The following is a 23487-nucleotide window of genomic DNA, read 5'->3' as shown; positions in this document are numbered from 1 at the left end:
TTGATGGTATTGCCAAGCTAAATTGTTCTTTTTTGGTACCAGAGTCTTTAAAGATATATTGTTTGGTAGATTTCTGTCATTAAAAGGGAAATTTTAAGGTCCATGTTTTAATTATGTTAATATTTTTAATCCATTATTGTCAACTAGTGATGTTTTCGTTCAGTATGTTACCTCCGTGTTTGTGAGGAAGACATTCCTTCTATAAAATGATGCACAAATGCTGTTCTTTTAATTTAGGCCAACATGGCAAATACTGAAATTTTCTCTGACCAAAAATATTTTTGTACTGTTTTTCCCTCAAGTTGTCAGTAGTAAAAGTGATTACCTGAGTCAACATTCTTGTACCTTGAGTATTTAACCAGAAGGATAATTTCAGAGTTAATATTTTGCTCTTTGATAATATAAAGTTCAAATGGGTGATATATTTCATTATGATATATTTATTATCTGAAAAGTTTGTAAATGGACTTGATAAGTAATATTAACATCAAAGAGTTAAGCTTTTTAATGAATCTTTCCAGGGAAATAATCAGATTGCTTAATTGAAAAAAATAAAAATAAAAGTCTGTGTTTGGAGGTTGAAGCACATATATGAATTTCAAATCAGCCATACCTGTTTCAGTTTGTAATGTGAAATTCAATTTTTAATACCATTTTTAGGCTCATAAAACCAAACAAGAAAAATGTCTTCCTTTGTAGAGATTATGATTTCCTTTTTACCAGAGACTATTGTATTGCTCTTGACATGGAGCATGTAAGATACATTATTATGCAGAATTGGTTCCTATTATTGCTTTGTTTAGTTGAAAAGATAGAAAAAATAAGACCTTTTTTTTTTCTCTTTTTTCCAAGTAAAATTATTGTGGCACCTGGAAACTTGTGGTACCACTGTTAGGCAAATGACTATGATGATTTCTTACACTTACTTCTGTAAATTTGAAGATGATCATAATTTCAGTATACTATCTATAGACTCTCACATTAAAATAGATAATAGTTACATTTTATATATTAAAGACTGTTACTTGTCACTGTTTCATATTGGTTATTCTTTGTTTCCCTAGATGGGTGCATGTTTTTCAAAAGTTTTTAATGGGTGTCCCTTGAAAATTCACTGTGCATCATCATGGATAAACCCAGATACAAGAGGTAGTATTGTGTGTTTTTATCTGTTATCTTCCTAATTTTTTAAAACTGGGGCCATGAAAGCATTTGTGATTTTGTTTATTTTCTGAGTATCTTTCTGGGGAAAAAAAGTTTTGTTATAATTTTTTTTTTATTTTAAGGTAAATATGTTTCTTTGTGCTGTTATCAGTGTTTGAGGTGACACATAACATTAAAATTTCACTGTATAGTTACCATATCAGTATAGTGAAGCCATGTATTCTGAGCCACCCTAGTTTCCTCCAGAAATGTTTCTGCTGCTGCTGCACAGTAGTCTGGTATCTTTTTTTATTTTTTATTTATAGGGAAAATGTTTTGCTCTGCCACCCAGGCTAGAGTACAGTGGCATGATCATGGCTCACTATAACCTCAAACTTCTGGCCTTATGCAATCCCCCTGCCTCAGCCACCCGAGTAGCTAGGACTGGAGGCACATGCCACCATTCCTAGCTGTTTTTGTTTTTTAATTTTTTGTAGAGATGGGAGCTGTCTGTGTTCCCCAGGCTGGTCTCGAAGTCCTGGGCTCAAGCAGTTGTCGCCTCAGCCTCCCAAAGTGCTGAGATTACAGACAGGAGCCACTGGCCAGTAGCTTCATTTTTTTCAAAACAGCCATTATGGAAGGAATTTAGCTACCAAGGATCCGGGGTTTAGTGACCACTTTAGAGGATCTCTGACCTTAAAAGGGGCCATAATCACAACAGTTGTCCTTAGGCAACCACTAAGAACTGTCTGTGTCCTCTCACTGTATATCTGATTCTTAATAGCTGTCTATGTAAGATACACATAGAACATTTATACGTGAACATTTTTATATACATACACATACACTCATTAAATATGCTGAGTACTTTTATGTCATAGGCAAGGAAATTGGCACTCAGAGAGGTTCATTGTTTATAGCCAATTGGTGCTAGAAAGGGTCAGTTTAAATCCAATACTGTCTGACCACAAATCTTATGCCATTAATCTCCCAGTACTAATCTTAAATTCTGGGCACTTTAGGAATGCTCTTAGCATTCTATACTGTTCTCAGCGTACTTCAGTTTAGCCTAGTTAGTCTAGAAAAGTTCTTGACCTGTATTATCTTAAAAACAGATCGGGCACTTTTCTTCAAGTTGCCTGCTTGGATCTCTTGGAAGTGTTCTTTCCTTTCTTTCCTGTTCTAAAGTCTTTTTAATAAATTTCCACTCCTGCTCCTGCTCTGGGAAACAAACAAACAAACAAAAAAATGGAAAGGACGATGGCCATGCTTCTCATATCTTTTAGAAGATACTGAGTACCCTAGCAGGTATCCAAGTTTTAGTTAACTTTTTAATAGACTGTGGTCAGATTCTGGGGTTTTTTAAATTAGAGTACTTATAGTATAGCTCTGAAAAAAAATTCTGTAGAAATAATTAGAATCTGTATCAGCCACTCTCGATTTTATATTCTGTATGTCAGTTGCACATGATCCTGTCTTTAGGGGGTTTTAGAAAAAGGAGCTGCAGATCCTTTGCCAGTTCTTAGCATTCTCTGATGAGTGAAGAATCTACTATGCCACTCTTCAGAACCTCCCTTACATAAAAATTCTCTTCACTGCTTTGAGGCTAATGTTTACATATAATTCAGTTTATGGGTCTAAAGTGTCTAACCTCTTTGTATTCACTGCTTATAAATCATAGTAATTCTTGTTTTATATGTTAATACTTATTTACGGAAGTTTAGATTATAGAAATCCTATTTAAAAATATTTTATTTACCAAAATCAGTCAGTGAATTACTTTTATTTCAGATCAGTACTTGATATTTGGTGCCGAAGAAGGGATTTATACCCTCAATCTTAATGAACTTCATGAAACATCAATGGAACAGGTATGTTATTTTGTATATTCTTTTTTTTTTTAATTTTTAAGTTACCATAAGTACACATTAGACCAGAAATAAGGTTCAGTTTCATGACTTGCTGCCTCTTTTATTCTTTTTTGTTTTGTTTTGTTTTGTTTTTTGAGACCAAGTCTCACTCTTGTTGCCCAGGCTGCAGTGCAGTGGTGTGATCTCGGCTCACTGCAACCAGTTTCAAGCAATTCTCATGCCTCAGCCTCCCAAGTAGCTGGGAGTAGAGGCACGCACCACCACGCCCAGCCAATTTTTGTGTTTTTAGTAGAGACAGGGTTTCACCATGTTGGCCAGGCTGGTCTTGAACTCCTGACCTCAGGTGATCTGCCCGCCTCGGCCTCCCAGTGTGCTGGGATTATAGACATGAGCCACCATGCCTGGCTAATTTTTGTGTTTTTAGTAGAGATAGGGTTTCACCATGTTGCCCATGCTGGTCTGGAACTCCTGGCCTCAAGTGCTGGGATTATAGATATGAGCCACCCCACCCCAGCGTCTTTTATTCTTAAAATCCTCATGACGCCGAGCATGGTGGCTCACGCCTGTAATCCCAGCACTTTGTGAGGCCAAGGCAGGCAGATCACCTGAGGTCAGGAGTTCGAGACCAGCCTGGCCAACATGGTGAAACCCTGTCTCTACTAAAAAATATAAAAATTAGCTGGGCATGGTGGCCTGTGCCTATAATCCCAACTGCTTCGAAGGCTGAGACAGGAGAGTCACTTGAACCCGGGAGGAGGAGGTTACAGTGAGCCGAGATTACGCCATTGCACTCCAGCCTGGGCAACAAAAGTGAAACTCCACCTCAAAAAAAAAACCTTCTGGAGCATGTTCTAATTACCAGATACTGAAGACAGGTTAACAGGACTAGTCCATACCCTTGAGAAGCTCATGATCTAATAGGGAAAACAGGTGTATAAACCAGTAACTACAGCACTCAGGATTAGATGTCATATTAGGAATGAGTATAAGATATTGGCCACAGAGGTGGATGTCACCAGCACCTCCTGTGGGGAGATGAGTAGAGGCATTTGAGATGGACCTTAAATTATGATGAATAGAAGTTTGTCACACAGACAGGATAAGCATGATGGCATAGAGATGTGAAATAGCATGGCAAGTTTGGGAACAATGACTGGGCATTTGACTGGAGTACAGAATGGTAACAATAGATGGAGCTGGGTAGGCAGGCAGAAGCCAAACACCAGAGCTTGGTGTACTATGCTGATGGAACAGACCTGTGTTTTAGAAATATCTGTTTGCAGTACGGTGAGAGATGAGACTAGAAACCATGGTCAAATGGTAAAAGAGTGTTAATTCAGGGCAAAGGTAGAGAACAGAGGGGAAAAGATATTTTTCAAAAACAGTTTTATCGAGATATAATTCACATATCATACAGTTCACCCACTTAAAGGGTACAATTCAGTGGCTTTTAGTACGTTCACAGCGTTGTGCAGCCATTACACCATCAGTTTTAGGACATTTTTATCATCTCCAAAAGAACCTCCGTAATCATTAGTGGTCATTCCCCATTTCTCTCCTCCTCTCCCCCAGTATGGGGATGTTTTTGAGTGTCACAATGAGTGGGGGGAGCTTTTATCATTTAGTACCCACGAGTCAGGAACATAAAACAACCTACAAACTGATAATAATGGTGATGCTATTAATAGCTAATACTTACATAAAGCTTACTATGTGTCCACGCAGTGTTTTTAAATGCTTGACATATATTATTTAGTCTTCATGAAATCTCTCACAGGTAGACACCATTGATAATCTCACTTCACGGATGAGAAAACTAAAGCACCGAAAGGATTAGTAACTTGCCAAAGACTCCATAGCTATTCAGTGGCTGGACTGCGATATGAACCTAGGCAAGCTAGCTCCAGATTCCATGTGCTTAACTACTTCACCATATTCTCTCTACCGATTGTATAGTTCCTGTAGAGAAATGCTGGACCTAGAGAAAGATCAGAGATCTAGAATTGACCGAATTGAATGACCGTTTCAACATGGAGGTTGAAGAGAGGTCTAGGTTAACTTTAGGTTTTCCACTTGAGTGACTGGGTGCCTGACAGTAACAGAAAGATGGAGTATAGTATACTGAAGGATGTGTTGATTTGAAGAGAATGGTAATGCTTTCAATTTGGTCATACTGAGTTTGGGGTGCCTTCGGGATGTGTGACTAATTCTTTTATCAATATAAATCGATTACAAGGCCGGCCGTGGTGGCTCATGCCTGTAATCCCAGCACTTTGGGAGGCCGAGGTGGGTGGTCACCTGAGGTCAGGAGTTCGACACCAGCCTAACAAATAAGGTGAAACCCCGTCCCTATTAAAAATACAAAAATTAGCCAAGCATGGTCATGTGCAGCTGTAGTCCCAGCTACTCAGGAGGCTGAGACAGGAGAATCACTTAAACCCGGGAGGCGGAGGTTGCAGTGAGCCGAGATCACGCCACTGCACTCCAGCCTGGGCAACGGAGTGAGACTCCATCTCAAAACAAAATAAAAATAAAAATAAATTGATTACAAATAAAATGGAAAGAAAAATATATAAGTAATGATTTATTCATGACTAAACAGTTTCATCTTCATTTTTTAAATCAAATTTTCTAGCAAGATCCTAAACTGTATGATATACTGTAAATCTTTTAATCTGGAAATGGTGTACAGTGAAATGGCTGAAAAGTGCCTAAGAACAGGGAAAGGGAGGAAAAGGATCTTGTAATTATAATAATTAGTAAATAATTCAAAGGTGGTCATATTTTTATTGGGTATAATGAGATATCCAAAAATAATATTGGTAACAATATTAATTGTAAGGAATAAGGCCAGCTTTATGCATAGGTGGAGTAAGCATTTATCAACCTAATTTGAAGAACTCTTTTGTTGTTGTTGTTATTTTTGAGACAGGGTTTCATTCTGTCACCCAGGCTGGAGGGCAGTGGCGTGAACACAGCTCACTGCAGCCTTGACCTCCTGGGCTCAAGTGACCCACCTCAGCGTTCTCAGTAGCTGGGACTACAGCCACATGCCACAATGCCCAGCTAATTTTTTGATATTTTGTAGAGACTGGGATTTCACTTTGTTGCCCAGGCTGGTCTCAAACTTCTGGGCTCCAGCAGTCCTTCTGCCTTACCCACCCAGTGCTGGGATTACAGGTGTGAGTCACCAGGCCTGGCCAGGACTCTTGAGAGAAGGCACCCATCAACCACACCTAGCCCCAGTCTGCAATAACTTCCCTTCTTAGTTGCTTTAGCATTTGAATTACATTACTAGAGTAATTTTTTTTGAAACATTGCCCTTCAAAGGAAACATTTTTCCCTCCTAGAGGGAGCCTATAAGAGTAAAGAATTAGTATATGTGGAGCCTGAATTTTTCATCTTACTGTGAAATTGATGATTAGGTTGATTTTCTCTAGACTTTATAGGAAACAGGGTGGCGTGAGCCTACTAAATAGGGGAAGATTCTGAAAAGTGAGAAGATGACACTAATCAGGGTCCTGATTTAAAGTTTTTTATCTGCTTTTATTATTTATAGCTAACATTTATTCAGTACTCAGCACTCTTCTAAGTGCTTTACAAGGAGTATCTTGTTTAATTACTATTCAGCTCTATGAGATACAGGTATTCTGTTTTACAGATAAGAACACTGAGACAGAGATTCAGTAAATTACCCAAGATCACACAATCATTGATAAAACAGATATATGAGTCTAGGCAGAATATAGAAGCTACCCTTCTTAACTGTTATATTCTTATTTATTAAACTGATCATTTCACCTAGAACCTAACTCACTAAAGGAAGAAAGCATTGAAAATCTAGTAAAGCTTTAGATTTGTAAAAGTTGTTAAAAATGAAAATTCAGGGTCAGGCGCGATGGCTCATGCCTGTAATCCCTGCACTTTGGGAGGCCGAGGTGAGTGGATCATGAGGTCAGGAGATCGAGACCATCCTGGCTAACACGGTGAAACCCCGTCTCTACTAAAAATACAAAAAAAAAATTAGCCGGGCGTGGTGGCGGGCGCCTGTAGTCCCAGCTACTCGGGAGGCTGAGGCAGGAGAAGGGCGTGAACCTGGGAGGCGGAGCTTGCAGTGAGCGGAGATCGCGCCACTGCACTCCAGCCTGGGCAACACAGCGAGACTCCATCTCAAAAAAAAAAAAAGAGAGAGAAAGAAAATTCAAAATGAAATCCAGTACTTTTTAAATAAAACTATACATAAATACCTTTTCATTGTCCCTATGTTGAAAATATGAAAGGAATTTGTGTCTTGTCTTGCTACTTTATATATGTTTATATTAAATAAGCAAACCTACTTACATTTGGAAGTATATAATTTTATAGTAAACCATCGATGTAGTATCAGATACTTTTTTAGTGGATATGTGTATGAAAACCCAGTTCAACACTGAATTAAATAAAAATCTGTATCTTGCTACTTTGATAACACGTACTGATATGTGGTCTGGAATAAGTCATTGCCCCTTCTCTACCTGATTTTTTCAGTATAGCCAATGAAGTCCCAATTTTGTTGTGAATTTTTTGTGAAAAGCAGAAAGTAGGAAATGGATGTTGATAACTTCTCTATTTGAGGCACAGGTATAGGCACATTTTACAAATTAAAAAACTGTATTGGCAATGCCACATTTTAGTTGTTTGGAGAAATTGGTTATTTTATGTAAGTACATTTTCCCAGTAAATGAAATAAAATTTTTATTAAAATGTTACTTTGTTTCTCCTCCCTTTTATTATTACCTTTTCTCTTTTAGTTATTCAGTCCCATTATTATGGCTGTGTTTCCATAAAGTAATGTCCTTAGAGGCCTTGATGTGTTTCATCATTCACCCCTGGGTCCTCTCTATTCCATTCTCTCATCTCAATTAGTTTTGGAGTAACTTAGTTGTAGGAATTGCCAGAGCAAACCCAGCAACAAAGGTTGTTAAATCAGGATGTCTAATTATGTACATCAGTGGCTCTCAAACTTCAGTCTGCCTCAGAATTACTTGGAGGCCTAGTTAAACCATAGATTCCTGGGTCCTCCTTCAGAACTTCTTGCTTCAGTAGATCTGGGGTGAGGTCCAAGAATTTACATTTCTACCATGTGCCCAGGTGTTGTTGAAGCTGCTGGTCCAAGGACCATTTAAAAACCACTGATACGCATAACGAAATGTCTTAATGAGAGTATTTTTTTTTAAATATATAGATTGTGTTCCATGAAATTCCTTTTTCTTTGCTCTAAGTTGTGACCACTTTCAGGCTTCCAGAGATGCCTCTCAGTTCTTATGGTACTAAATTTTAGTAATAAATTTCATATATATATATATCTGCTTTGTGATTTATGAGTTTTCATCATCTTCTATCTCAGCCTTTTTTTTCCCTCCATACCTAGTGTTTCTGTATCCTGTGTTCCACTACACCATGATGCTTTTTCCTGTATCATACACCCTAGAATGCATATTGTGCCTAGATACGTCTATTTTGGGAGGAGTAGAGAGGAGAATCTTATTCAACCCCAGAACCAAAATAAAGGAATAGATGTTGTTTGAAAATGTTGTTATTCCCTGCATAGTTTGGGGTTACATAGCCCTTAATCATAAGGGAGACTTGAGCTGATCATATCGTGTTTAGGCTAAAATTTAGCCTAATTTATTTTTTCTCTCACATAAATATGTATGTATATATATCATCTTGGTTTGAATCCTTGATAAAGTTAATTTATGTTAAAAATAATTTACTTTTAAAGAACTGACCTGTAGATAAGACAGCTTACGTGATTACTGTGTACAGATTTACATTGCCATTATGTATTATTCTTTGTAAACTTTGTGCCTTTTTTTAATCAGCTATTCCCTCGAAGGTGTACATGGTTGTATGTAATGAACAATTGCTTGCTATCAATATCTGGTAAGTATATTAGTTTTTAAATACCTTACAATTGTTACTATTTATTATTAGCTTTTATGTCATATCTGTTTTTCTTTATAGGTAAAGCTTCTCAGCTTTATTCCCATAATTTACCAGGGCTTTTTGATTATGCAAGACAAATGCAAAAGTTACCTGTTGCTATTCCAGCACACAAACTCCCTGACAGAATACTGCCAAGGTAAGGGTACATCCTTAGAGGCAATATGATATTAACAGTTCATTCTCATAAATATTTATGTTACAGAAAGTGAAAGAGCACTCAGTTTGGGTTAATAAAAATCATGATGAAAAAATAATAAGTAATATACATTAACAAGTGCTTAGTGATCACACTCTTGTTCTAAAATTTTTCTACTTTGTACTTTCAAATTATATCAGACATTTTCTCTCTGAATTTTTTATTCTTTTTCTGCAAGTTTAAAACTAGTTTTTTTCTTGTACTTTGCCATAATTTTACATTGCATTTAGTGCCTTTGCTTTTGACATATGTGTTAACTTTATAAAATTTTTCTCAAAGTTTCTATACCTAGAAAATCAAAATGATTTATTGAAAAGTGTTTTTGCAACCTGGCATGGTGGCTCACGCCTGTAATCCCAATACTTTGAGAGGCTGAGGCAGGAAAATGGCTTGAGGCTAGGAGTTCAAGACCAGCCTGAGCAACATAGCAAGACCTCATCTCTACAAAAAATATTTTTTAAAAAGTAGCCAGGCATGGTGGCTCGAGCCTGTGGTTCCAGCTACTCAGGAGGCTGAAGTGGGAGGATCAGTGGAGCCCTGGAGGTTGAGACTGCAGTGAGCTATGATCATGCCACTACACTCCAGCCTGGCTAACAAGGCAAGACCGTGTCTCAGTGTTTTGCATTAGAAGATAATTAGTTTGAAGTTGAGTGGTTTTGCCTTTCTAGTTTCAGTAATTTGTTATTATGCTCTGTTCTTTCGTTATTTAATATAATATTGGACCTCTTTATTGACTGAAAGATTTTCTAGCTCTGGTATAAATTGTATTTTACAAAAACTTTATAATATGCCTATTCTTTTTTATAATATTTGTTGTAAAGCAACTAACATAAAACCTTAATTTTCGAGTACCTTGAGAATCTGCTGTTCTCAATAGAGACCTTTTTAGCTTATTTGCTTTTAGCTGTGTTCGTTTCTTCCAGATTTTACTGAATACACCAAATGTGTATGAAATGTCCCATGTATAAATGAGACAAAATTGAATAAGATATAGTCTCTTCCTTTAAGGAGTTTCCATATGGTATGATTTTACCTACGCTGAATATAGGTACTTATTGTACCATATTATAATTCATTTTTAATAAAGCATAAGCTTTGGAATTCAAGTAAAGTTGAATTTAAATCCTGGATCATTGACTTACTAGATATGGGACCTTGGATAAATTATACAACCTTTCCCCATGTGTTCAGCTCTAAGGGTATTTCACCTCCAGGTTATTATTTCAGGAATTTTATTATAGTCAATCTTTAGTTTTTTTAATAGTAACAGCCACAAATATGTCCTTCCCACTTTCTTCAGTTTCATTATCTAGTAATTACTGTAAAATCTTTTAATTCTCTCACTTATTGGCAGGAAACCTAAAAACCCTTTTAGCATCATAATATTTTATATATGTGCATTCATACCATTTCTTCTGCCATACAGTGAGCACAACTTAAACCTCTACTGAGTGTCTTATTCTTAATCTGATGATAAAGAGCCTCATGGTTCTCATTCTGAAGATAGGTACTCATTGTACCATATTGTAATCCATTTTTAGTAAAGCATAAGCTTTGGAATTCAAGTACAGTTGTATCATTTACTTACTAGGTATGGGACCTTGGGTAAATTATACAGCCTCTCCACGTATATTCAGCTGTAACTGGAACCTATATACTCATCTGGCAGAGTTGTTTTGAAAATGATAAATCGTGTATGTAAAGTACCTACCACAGCACCTAGTAAGCTCTCAAGAAATAGACCTTTTGTCATCATTATTGGGCATGATAAATTGAACTCTGCCTTGTAGTGTACTCTAAAATATCCTATGTTAAATACATTCAGACAGTTAATTTAGAATTCCAGTTAATTGGGTGCTGGTAAAATAAGTTGTATTGTGTTTCATAAAATCATGACTAAAATTAAGGCAAGTCTATAGATCACTATAGAACATTAACTAAATTTTTGAAACATTTCAGTGTACTGCCCACAACTCTTATTTTGAAAAGTTTTTGAAATCCTTAATTCACAGCCATACTTAATAGTTGATTTCTGTTTGTGTAGTAGTCATCCCTATGGTCTTTCAGAACTTGGCAGTTAATCCTCCTGGGTTTTGACTAGTTCAGTGTTTTAACCCCTAAGTTAGCTTTGGGAGCTAGGACACAAGTTCACAAGTGTGGACAGGAACATTAAACTTTCTGCCAGCCGAAATCTGTCAGGAGCTTGGTTCAGATTTTTTTTAACTCTAAAAAGCGCTTTGGTTCAAAGCAGATTCGTTAAGAGTGTGGGGAGTTTTTGTTTTGTTTTATTTTAAGCTGCATTAAACTCCAATGTATATGAAAGGGGCATTTTTATAATTGTAAGTTATAATGTAAAACTTTTCCTAATGTAAAGTTAGTCAAGGGTACAATGAGGTGTTTTAACCAGAAAATCGTAATCAGAATATTCTAGATTGCCATTGTAGTCGTTCAGTGTTTCAACATCTGAATAAATTCTGTGTCATTGTTTAGCTGTCACAGTGTGAAAAACGTTTTGATTCACAAAGACAAGTACTTAAAAAGAGGTAACAGTTTTTGACAGCTTACCTTGCACACTCTGAATAATGTTCATTTAAATTGATACAGCCTGTAGTTCCAGCTACCTGGGAGGCTGAGGCAGGAGAATTGCCTGAACCCAAGAGGCAGAGGTTGCGGTGACCCAAGATTGAGCCACTGCACTCCATCCTGGGCAACAGAGTGAGACCCTGTCTCCAAAAAAAAAAAAAAAAAAAAAGACCTGAGCAAAAATCTAAGCTTCAGATTTCTATGCTGTAACCTACCTCTTTATTGGAGGGACTGAATGACACAGATGTCTAAAATGCATGGCACATAGTAAGGACTCAGTAAATGAAGCTAAAATTATAGCTTTTCATAAATAGGTCAATATATAAAATGTATTAAGGGTTAAAATTACAGTACTACGATATTATATTTTTTAATATTATATTTATGCTTATCATTCAGTTGCCAATTGTGTGGTTACAAGAACATCCATCAGGAAAATTGTTCTGAGCTTGTTTGGAATTGCACTGAACATCACACATGTGCTGTACAATTTTATATAAAATTGTACAACTCTAAAAAAAAAAAAAGACTTGTACAGAGCACTGGCATCTATCTAATCTTTGGCAAATTTACACATTTAAGTTTAAGTGGCTCATGCCTGTAATCCCAGCACTTAAGGAGGCTGCACTTTTGGCAGATTACTTGAGCCTCAGGAATTTGAGACCAGCCTGGGCAACATGGTGAAATCTGTCTCTTTCTTCTAAAAATTATTTTTTTAAAAAAAAGAGTTTAGATGTTTGTAGAAGTCAGGCACGGTGGATCAATTGAGGTCAGGAGTTCGAGACCAACCTGGCCAACATGTCGAAACCCCGTCTCTACTAAAAGTACAAAAATTAGTTGGGTGTGGTGGCTGATGCCTGTAATCACAGCTATTTGAGAAGCTGAGGCAGGAGAATCACTTGAACCTGGGAGGCAGAGGTTGCAGTGAACTGAGGTCAAGCCACTGCACTCCAGCCTGGGCGACAGAGCGAGACTCCGTCTCAAAAAAAAAAAAAAAAAAAAAAATAGAAAAAATCTTTAGCCGGGCACAGTGGCTCACACCTGTAATCCCAGCACTTTGGGAGTCCGAGGCGGACGGATCACCTGAGCTCAGGAGTCCGAGACCAGCTTGGGCAAAGTGGCACAACCCCGTCTCTACTAAAAATACAAAAATTAGCTGAGCATGATGGCAGGCACCTGTAGTCCCAGCTATTTGGCATTCTGAGACAGGAGGATTGCTTGAACCTGGGAGGCGGAGGTTGCAGTGAGCCAAGATCACACCCTTGCACTCCAGCCTGGGCGACAGAGCGAGACCTTGTCCAAAAAATAAAATAAAATTTAATAATAAAAAGTATGTACAGAAATGGGTTTAATTTGAGGTTTTTACAATTTGATGCACCAACAACCTTTATTATATTACATTTTAAAAGACATTTGAGTGTATGTGTAGTTTTTAAATTGTAGTTTTTAAAAAAATTCAGAATTGATTTTTATCTATTAAATTCGAGTCAGATGTTTGCAAAACACCTATAGCACCTTTGCAGAACATCTGTATCCCACTTTTCCTGAGTAGAGAAACAAAGATTTCTAAAAAAGAAATTCTTCACAAATTTTTATAATAAGACAGCTTTTTACAGTACATGTAAATGTATTACATGTACTAAAAATAGCTCTCTCCAGTTTTTGGCTTTTCATTTTCTCAATGATATCTTTTGGTAAACCAAAGTTACTAATTCAGTAATTGACTGCCACCTGTAGTTTGAGGTGCTAAGGTTGAATCAGTGGGGGCAAAAAAGCCAATTAAAATGTAACAGCATTTTCCTGTATGATTTGTTGTTTTTGTATTTCTTAAATCCCAAGGTCATATATTTCTATAGACTTCTATAGTTTGTTTTCATATTTAAACCCTTAACCCATTTGGAACTGATTGGGGGCCATGAGAAGGGGATCCAATTTATTTAATTTTTTTTTTTTTTTTTTTGGAGACCGAGTTTTGCTCTTCTGTTGTTGCCCAGGCTGGAGTGCAATGGTGTGCTCTCGGCTCACCACATCCTCCACCTCCTGGGTTCAAGCGATTCTCCTGCCTCAGCCTCCTGAGTAGCTGGGATTACAGGCATACACCACCATGCCTGGCTAATTTTTTTGTATTTTTAGTAGAGACGGGGTTTTATTATGTTGGCCAGGCTGGTCTCGAAGTCTTGACCTTGTGATCCGCCCACCTCGGCCTCCCAAAGTGCTGGGATTACAGGCAACGTGCCATGGCACCCGGCCTTTTTATTCTAATTTTAATAGATGAGCTAGTATGTCAGCACCAGTTTTGAACTCATCCTTTGTGCACTGATCTATAACAGTAGCTTTTTCATATACTAAGTTTGCCTACATATATTACGTACTCACTTTTATTTACATTTAGGAAATTTTCTGTATCAGCAAAAATCCCTGAAACCAAATGGTGCCAGAAGTGTTGTGTTGGTAAGTAAACTGTCCAATAGCATATAGCTCTCTGAGACTCCTCCTAAAATCTGGCATAAAACAGTACTACCCCAGGGCATTCTGCCAGCAATACTTTATTTTTCCTGCTTAAGTAGAACAAATTTCTTGGCTGTTTCATCTCTGTGTAGACTAAGCCTAATACATAGTACCTTGCAAATAATTTATTTGCAAATAAATGTTTATTAGCAAATAAATTATTTGCTAAACAAATAATTTATTGCCTAGGTAAATGGAGAAAGTTGTATGACTTTTTTTTTTTTACCACATTTTATCACACCCTGTTTTCCAAGGGTCCTGTTACGTACCATTCACCATTCTGCTTAGCAATGGCTTGTGAGATGGCATTTATTCCTTCAGCATGTATTTTTATGTTCACCTTCCTCTCACCTAAATTCCTCCCCCACCCCAATAACAATTAGTTGTTCTATTTGCATGTAGCCAGAGCAAAAAATGATTTCTTTCCCTTAAGTTACTATTATTATAAAAGGGACGATAAACACATGAGTCATTATACCACAAGTATAGTGTGGAAAGGACTCTAAACATAGGCTCACTGAAGAAGGTGGCATTTGGGCCAGGCCTCAAAATAAGGCAGATTCAGATTTGAACTGAATAGATGGAGAGTCATTTCAAACAGAAGAAATGACATAACATGTGGAGGCAAAAAAAAAATCATAAAGGTTACATAATAAATGCTGACTATTCGCTTAGCTGGATACAGATGATAGAAAGGAGAGTGGCAGATGAGTGTGAGCCATTGGCCTTGTGTGAGCATGTACTTATTACTGTGCAACAAGTAAGGAAGGAAGTCTTGTGCTAGAGCAGTAGCAGTGCAAATAGCAGGGAAGGAGTATCTGGGTGTGAAGGGAAAAGATGTCAGAGATGACTGAGGCCTCAAACCCAAAAGACTGGCAGAAGGGCAAGTGTTAACAGGAAGCGAGAACAGCTGGTTTAGAGCAAAAGAGGATGACAAGGTTGGGTTTAGACATGGTGGTTGAGTCTCTGTTAGAACTGCAGCAAATTTACTTGACTCTACCTGAGGACAAAGGGGCAGGTTTTTAGGAAAAGTTAATTATAGGAAAGAATTTCCTATATAGACTTCTCTGTTTTCTTTGGCGGGACAGTTTTGCTGTTCTCCTCCTCTGCCATTTAAATATTTCAAATCTATTTGAAGTGTGTGAACTTTACTGCTGTTCCCCTTTTCACAGTTCAGTTTTTTTATCTTTATTCCAAATATATTTACTTCACATATATTTACTTTACTTCTTCTGGTTTATAACCAGAAGAAAATTTCAAAATCTGAGGTAATTCAATTTTATTATTTGTAAACCAGTATTTTAAGGTTCGATTAATATCTGTGATGTTTTCTAGTGACCATAAGAATTGAATCAAAAGGGGGAAGATAGACAAGTGTTTTATTTTCAGAAACAAAACATTATTGCCTCTGAACATTACCACCAAAAGCACCTTGTGAACCACCCGAATGTGTTGTATCTTAGGAGTCTGACAACTTCTTCCCAAATTTACTTTGACCCTTTTATCAGAATGTTGCCACCTCAGGTAATTTTCCTACCATCATAAGACGAAAAGTCCTTCCTCTTACCCCACAGCCTCATTATAACCAGCAGTTTCATTTGTGCATACAAATAAAAATCCTGCAAGTTAAGAGGGCATTTCCTGCTATTACCTGAAACAGTATTTTTTTCACCCAGCCCTCTAATTAAGAAACTGAACTGGCAACCAGCTTTTGATTTTGTTTTATGTTTAGTTTGTTTAGTTTTGTTTGTTTTTTTGAGCATGCAATTATTGTCATAATGACTTTGTTTTATAAGAGAACTCATTTATATTTTTGCTTTGACAGTAAGAAATCCTTACACGGGCCATAAATACCTATGTGGAGCACTTCAGACTAGCATTGTTCTATTAGAATGGGTTGAACCAATGCAGAAATTTATGTTAATTAAGGTAAGCATAAAAGTCAGACTATCTTATTCTTACTATAAAAGCTTGTCAACCTTACTGTTCTTTAAAGAAACATTTTTTTCAGTTAATTTTCAAGTTAATTTAGTGATTTTAGATAATGTGGCAGGGTTGTAAAAATCTGCCCAGTTGTAAGCAACTTAATTGGCCTAGTAAAAGTTTTATAAGAGACTAGAGAAATAATGCAAGGGTATGGCGGTGGGGAGCTGGAAATAGTGTCTCACATACAGAGCCTGATGGCAGAAACAGGAAGTACTAAAAGATCAGTGAAATATTTTGAATACACTCTCTGGTTGACCTCCATCACAGCTGAAAACAACATACAGGTTGCAGTTTGGCCTAGGAGAACTAGGGGTAACCATAATGACAGGGAAACAAGTTGTTTTTAGTTATATACCCACCCATTAATTTACCTAGGCCTTTCCACAGATTTTTTTTATAGAATCATTTAATTAATGAATAATTTTTAAAATATTTACTGTTACTCATCTGTAACTTACATTTAAGGAAAAACTAACTTTTAAAATGTGTGAAGTACAGGCTCAGTTAATTACATCAAGGAAATACCAAATGAATTTTAAAAGTCATTTTCCATGCTATTATATATGGACTGAGTGGTCTTATTTCATGTGCATTTGATCTCAGTAGAAATTAGAGTCGGAATATAGCTGGAGTGGGGTTCTTCCTAAATTTTATAGTATTAAGATGTTTAAAGTATTGACTCCCTGTTGTTTAAAATCCTGTAAGTGACTAAGAAATCTAGTTTTCGTTTTCATATCAGTTTTACCCTCGAGATTCACTAGGGCTAAACAGATGAAAATATAGTTTCAAGAATTTGAAACCTATTGAAGTATTAATTTCACAGGTAAATGCACTGAAACAAAAATTATTTAAACTGAAAGCTCAGGGGAAAATAGCCTTATAAGTTGTCTAAAGCAGAACTACTGAATACAGCCCATTTATGGCAAACATTGTTTTGTTCTCAGCTCCTCTTTATTCTTGTTTATTTGACAAAAGAATGCTCTATCCAAGATGGAATGGTAAAGTCTACACAGTTTGATTTTTCATCAACCTCTTCCTTTCCTATCTTTTTCCTTTCTTTCTTCAGGCTATTTTAAATATGTCCCTCCTATTATTTTCATTCCTAACCTCTATCAAAATGAAAATGTTTCATCATATCAGTTATTCTTGTATACTGATATACTGATTAACCTGGTATGAATGAATTTTATGTGTTATCTAATATGGTAAACCATTTATGCTAATATATAATGAAAGATGCTTTTCTCTGTTAGAGGAATTGTCCATGTCAAGAGCATGCAGGAGGGAATATATACTTTGAAGACATAGGACGCTTAAAAATTACCCATCCATGGCTTCTCTTTTCCGGGTAGATGGTACCAGGGTGCTTGGCCTGGCTCTAATGAGGCCTCTTACCAGCATTCTGAGATAGTGAACCTGTAGTACAATACTACTTGCAGGTCTCCCTCAAGATTTTAATCACTCTTCTCCCTTTTCTTAAACTCTCTGAGCTATAATGTTTGCCTGCCTTCCTTAATCTTAACCTAGCTTTCCTTTCCGTGTCTCTCTGCGTCAAGACTTCTATATGGGCCGGGCGCGGTGGCTCACGCTTGTAATCCCAGCACTTTGGGAGGCCGAGGCGGGCGGATCACGAGGTCAGGAGATCGAGACCATCCTGGCTAACACGGTGAAACCCCGTCTCTACTAAAAATACAAAAAAAAAAAAAATAGCCGGGCGTGATGGTGGGCGCCTGTAGTCCCAGCTACTCGGGAGGCTGAGGCAGGAGAATGGCCTGAACCCGGGAGGCGGAGCTTGCAGTGAGCCGAGATTGCGCCACTGCACTCCCGCCTGGGCCACAGAGCGAGACTCCGTCTCAAAAAAAAAAAAAAAAAACTTCTATATGTATATTTTGTCTCCATATTTAACATTATTTCTATCAGTATTTATGATGTTTCTATACTATAACCCTTAATCAGATGTATTCAAAAACATTGTTACGCTTTCTATATTCTTGTTTCCTCCTAATGACATTTCTGACAGTTTTTGCATCATTAGACTGCTTTTATTTTTTTTTGAGATGGAGTCTGGTTCTGTTGGCCAGGCTGGAGTGCAGTGGCATGATCTCAGCTCACTGCACCCTCAGCCTCCCAGGATCAAGCAGTTCTCTGCCTCAGCCTCCCGAGTAGCTGGGATTACAGACACCCAGCTAATTTTTGTATTTTTAGTAGAGATGGGGTTTCACCATCTTGGCTAGGCTGGTCTCGAACTCCTGACCTCAGGTGATCCACCCGCGTCATACTCCCAAAGTGCTGGGATTACAGGTTTGAGCCACCGCACCCAGCCTGGACTGCATTTTCATTATAAATAAAAGTTAAAAATTAAAGATCTCTCCAGCAAACATGATGTACCTATTGCAGGCAAGGCACCGTGTTATTTACTAGAGAGACAAAAATACATTAGATACAATTGCTGCCCTCGAGGACAATAGCAACTGGATTTAAAACTATTAGACATGAATCCCCTTCTGTTAATGACTTATACAAATTGCTTAGTTATTATTGGAAGCAATGTAGAAGTAATCAAAATCTGTTGTGTTTTTTTTTAAAGCGTTGTTTCTGTGTTTAAACTGTAAAAGTTTAAAGATGCGTCTTTAATCAGAAGCATTGGTTTTTTTTCTGCTTCGTTGCTCTTTATTTCAAAGAGAATTATTTAAGTTGCTGTACCTTATTAAAAATGACAGATTTTATCAAAAGCATGTGCCCCAAGGTAATGGGAAAGCTCCTAGAGAAGAGGTTTGGAGAATATTGATGAAGTGTCTGTGCCCGTGGAATGGAGGCACTTTAGCAGCCACAGGGAAAGAAGGACTGTAGGAACAGCAGGTGAACACAGAGCTTCACATTCCAGCCATGAGTACCATTTTGTGTCTTCCAACACTTTAAAACTACCTGTTAGGATATCCCCCGTTGCACCTTTTACTTTTCTTTAGAATTTATGAGTTGCCAGATTAAAAAGAAAACAAATCAAATCCAGTAGCTTCATAAAATGCTAGCAATAACCATTTGGAAAATACAGTGAAAACACAGCCAGTTTATAAAAGCAACAAAAATATAAAATATATAAGAATGAACTAAATAAAATATGCATGAGAGTGGTATTTTTTTTAATTTGTGAAGAAAAATTTTAGAATTCCCTTTGTCATCCTCCCTTTTAGTCAGCTCCCTGCTTCTTTTTTACAAAGGAAACCTAGAAAGTTCTTCCTTTTTTCTCTTTTTTTACTATCTAAGCTCATATCCCTAAACATTAGAACTAATTTTATTTAATTTTTCAACAGTATTTAAGTGGAATTATAAAGTATATGTTCATTTGTGTCTGGCTTTTTGTGCAACATTATATTTGTATAGTTGCTGGACATAGCTATAGTTTATTCATTTTTCAGTTGTCTATATATAATTTTTTATTTTGTGAATGTGCCGTAATTTTATCTGTTTTGCATTTGTCTCTTGTATATGTGTACTCATGTTCTTTAGAATGTATACCTAGGAGTATTATTGCAAGGTCCTAAGGAATGCCTACTTCCAGCATTAATAAATAATGCAGTTAACTAGTCTGGCTATGCCACTCTATGTCCCACCACCAGTGTTGTATGAGCATTTGCTTACTCCTCTGGGATGCTTATTCACTGTCATTCTTTTTAATTTTAGCCATTCGGTGGGTATGTATAGTATTTATCTCATTGTGGTTTTATTTCTTGATTACTAATGAAGTTAGTGTTTTCCATCTATTTTTTTTGTCCTTCAGAATGTGAATTTATTCTTTGTAGCAATATAAATTTTAAACATATAAAATTAAAATGGGTTGTATTATAACTGAGTTGATTTGATAAAAATCACTTGAGATATGAAGCTAATTTTTTTTGATTTATGACTTTTTCTGTTCACATCTTACAAGAGGAGTGTCTCTTGCTAATTAGCATTTCACTTCTCTCATCCATGTTTGCTCAGTTGATTAAGAAGGCAGAGGAGTATAACTGAAGAAGCATCACATTGGGAGACAGGAGACTCTGCCACAAAGGCCGGGGGACCATGGGCTGGTCACCCAGTTCCTGGGCCCCAGGTTCCAACTCTGAAAAGAGAGGGTTGGACACGTGACTTATAAATTCCCTTCCAGCCTTAATGTCCTAAAATCATGTAATTATAACTTTAAAATATTTTGCGGTGGTAAACCTAAAATGTTTATAAAAGAGAGTCCATAATTTAGATTTTTCTGCATTACCTGAATTTCTGTGACAAGATGCAGTCTTTATTGTAGAAAGCTGTTTTATAGTATTCTCATAGAATTATTCGGTTTTTATTTTCCTTGGTTTAATGTATTTTTGTTTCTTTCTCTAGCACATAGATTTTCCTATACCATGTCCACTTAGAATGTTTGAAATGCTGGTAGTTCCTGAACAGGAGTACCCTTTAGTTTGTGTTGGTGTCAGTAGAGGTAGAGACTTCAACCAAGTGGTTCGATTTGAGACGGTCAATCCAAATTCTACCTCTTCATGGTTTACAGAATCAGGTTTGTAATTTTTATGGAATTATTAAGGGTAATACATATACTGGTTTTATAAGTAGTAAGTTTACTGTATCTCTTACTAAGGAAAAACTGCATATACTGCCAGTCTTCAATAACTATTATTAAACTGGAAGAAGGGAAGATTACTCTCTTTAAAATAGCTAATTCATATGACACATTTAAAACATTGGCTGGCAGGGCATGGTGGGTCACGCCAGTAATCCCAGTACTTTGGGAGGCCAAGGTGAGAAGATCGCTTGAGTCCAGGAGTTCAAGAACAGCCTGGGCAATGTAGCAAGACCCTGTCTCTAAAAAAATTGCATGTAAGTTAGCTGGGCATGGTGGTGCATGCCTGTAGTCCCACCTACCAGGGAGGCCAAGATGGGAGGATTACTTGAGCCCAGGAGGTCGAGGGTGCAGTGAGCCATGTTCGCACCATTGTACTCCACCCTGGGTGACAGAATGAGATCCTGTCTCTAACTAACCAACTAAATCAAGCAAACATTGCCAAAACATGATACTGAGAGCACATACACCAGTTTTTTTATTTAGAAATGAATATAAGGATCTGATCCTCAAAGTCCTGTGTATATTATTGGTATGTATATTTGGTATATATTAATAAACAATTGTGCATGAACACACCTCTTACTATAAAATGAGGTATACACCTGGGTTGTTATTTGATTTTGGTGATATGTATTTTAAATAACAATGTCTCTTGAAGGACACTGTGTATAGGAAACCCGTAAAGTCATGTTTGCATTAATCTTTCTTGGAAATAATTAAATTAATATTACAAATTAAATGCCAATTAAGGCACTTTTTTTCTTCAAACAAAAGGGAAATAATTTATATAGACTCAAATATTTTTAATATTTTGATAATACTTTTCATTTTATATGTTTCACATTTCCTTTTTGGAGAATTTTACATGCATCAAATTGTTTTGACTAAGTTCATTAATATGAAAATGAATACGAAATGTATATTAACATAGGAAACATTTAAAACAAAACTTGGGTACTTAACATTTTCATAACTCTCAGAAATTTTAAGTATTTTATGTATTTTTAAGTGGTGTATACCTGAAAATTTGCATTTTACACAACTCCAGTTGCCCTGCCTCCCTGAGGTGATGTTACCTTTTTGATCATCTTCCATCACTTCACTAGGGGTATTGGTAAGAGTGATCATTGAGTATGTAGTATGTAGCAGCAATTACCAGACTTGAGCATTCATCAGAATCACTGGGAGACTTGTGACATTTCTGAGCCCCACCCCCGGAGCTGTTCATTTATAGTCTAGATAGGACCTGAGAATTTTCATTTCCGTGAATTCCCAAGTGTTGCTGATGAGGTTGACACAAAGACCATAGTTTTGGCATATATAGACAAACCTCAGCCTAGGCGATATAGCAGGACCCCATCTCTAAATTTTTTTTTTTAATTAGCCAGACATGGTGGCATACACCTATGGTCTCAGCTACTCACAAGGCTAAGTCAGGAGGGTCACTTGAGGCCAGGATTTCAAGGCTGCAGGGAGCCATGATCACACCACAGCATTTCGGCCTGAGCAGCAGGCGCAAAAAAAAAAAACAATTTTCATTTTTGTAAATTCCCAGGTGATGCTGATGGTGTTGATACAGCAACCATAGTTTGAGAACTACATGTATTTACAAATCTCCCACTAATAGAAAATTTGGTTTTTAAAAGAAGAAAAGTTGCATTATAGGATATTTTAAGTATGTTTGTTTTCTAGTGCAGTCGGCATTCTGTATCCATGTGTTCCGCATTGCCAGTAGTATTGACAACAGCCAACATATGCTCTGTTGAGCACTTACGTTGTTTAGCACTTGCATCAGCATTTAAACCCACTAGCCTGGCTCAGTCACTACATGTGTATTACAGAAGACATATCCGTTTCAAGTATTGTTATCCTCAGAATTCTTTTTCTTCAATGTTTCCATGCTTTAAGTATCACAGTTTCTGTAGGTTTACCAAAATTTGTTTGTATTGTAGATACCCCACAGACAAATGTTACTCATGTAACCCAACTGGAGAGAGATACCATCCTTGTATGCTTGGACTGTAAGTTTTTATTTATGAATGTCTTACTTTAATAAGACTTCTTTTATCTTAGTTTCTGAGTGACTTTTTTTCCTCTAGGTTGTATAAAAATAGTAAATCTCCAAGGAAGATTAAAATCTAGCAGGAAATTGTCATCAGAACTCACCTTTGATTTCCAGATTGAATCAATAGGTAAGTCAAAGTTTTATAATTCTTTGCATTATGAACTCCTTAAAATAATTTATCTGCTAATTATCCAAAATTAAAGATTGATATTATTAAGATTCTTTTTTTAAAATAAAGGATATGGCTGGGCATGGTGGCTCATGCCTGTAATCCCAGCACTTTGGGAGGCCAAGGTGGGTGGATCACTTGAGGCCAGGAGTTCAAAACCAGCCTGGCCAACATGGTGAAACCCCGTGTCTACTAAAAATACAAAAATTATCCAGGTTTGCTGGCACACGCCTGTAGTCCGAGCTACTTGGGAAGCTGAGGCATGAGAATCACTTGAACCTGGGAAGGGGAGGTTGCAATGAGTTGAGATCGCACCATTGCACTCCAGCCTGGGTGAGGAACGAGACTCTTGTCTCAAAAAGTAAAATAAAA

The 23487-nt window shown here is 36.9% G+C and overlaps 1 protein-coding gene across 6 annotated transcripts in view; it reads left to right on the top strand.

Moving 5' to 3' along the window:
• Positions 1-23487, top strand: part of MAP4K3 (mitogen-activated protein kinase kinase kinase kinase 3) — a 188020-nt gene that overhangs the window by 155865 nt on the left and 8668 nt on the right. For all 6 annotated transcript variants that reach the window (NM_001410753.1, XM_047446092.1, NM_001270425.2 and 3 more), the window contains 9 exons: positions 1065-1149; positions 2935-3014; positions 8879-8939; positions 9021-9138; positions 14174-14232; positions 16115-16218; positions 20644-20815; positions 22834-22902; positions 22981-23073. In NM_001410753.1, coding sequence (NP_001397682.1) covers positions 1065-1149; positions 2935-3014; positions 8879-8939; positions 9021-9138; positions 14174-14232; positions 16115-16218; positions 20644-20815; positions 22834-22902; positions 22981-23073 — 841 coding nt within the window. The remainder of the gene's footprint in view (positions 1-1064; positions 1150-2934; positions 3015-8878; positions 8940-9020; positions 9139-14173; positions 14233-16114; positions 16219-20643; positions 20816-22833; positions 22903-22980; positions 23074-23487) is intronic.

This window comes from Homo sapiens, chromosome 2, assembly GCF_000001405.40.
Source record: "Homo sapiens chromosome 2, GRCh38.p14 Primary Assembly".
Classification (NCBI taxonomy): domain Eukaryota; kingdom Metazoa; phylum Chordata; class Mammalia; order Primates; family Hominidae; genus Homo; species Homo sapiens.
Note: the sequence above shows the minus strand (reverse complement) of the source record. Positions and strands in the feature narration are given on the sequence as shown.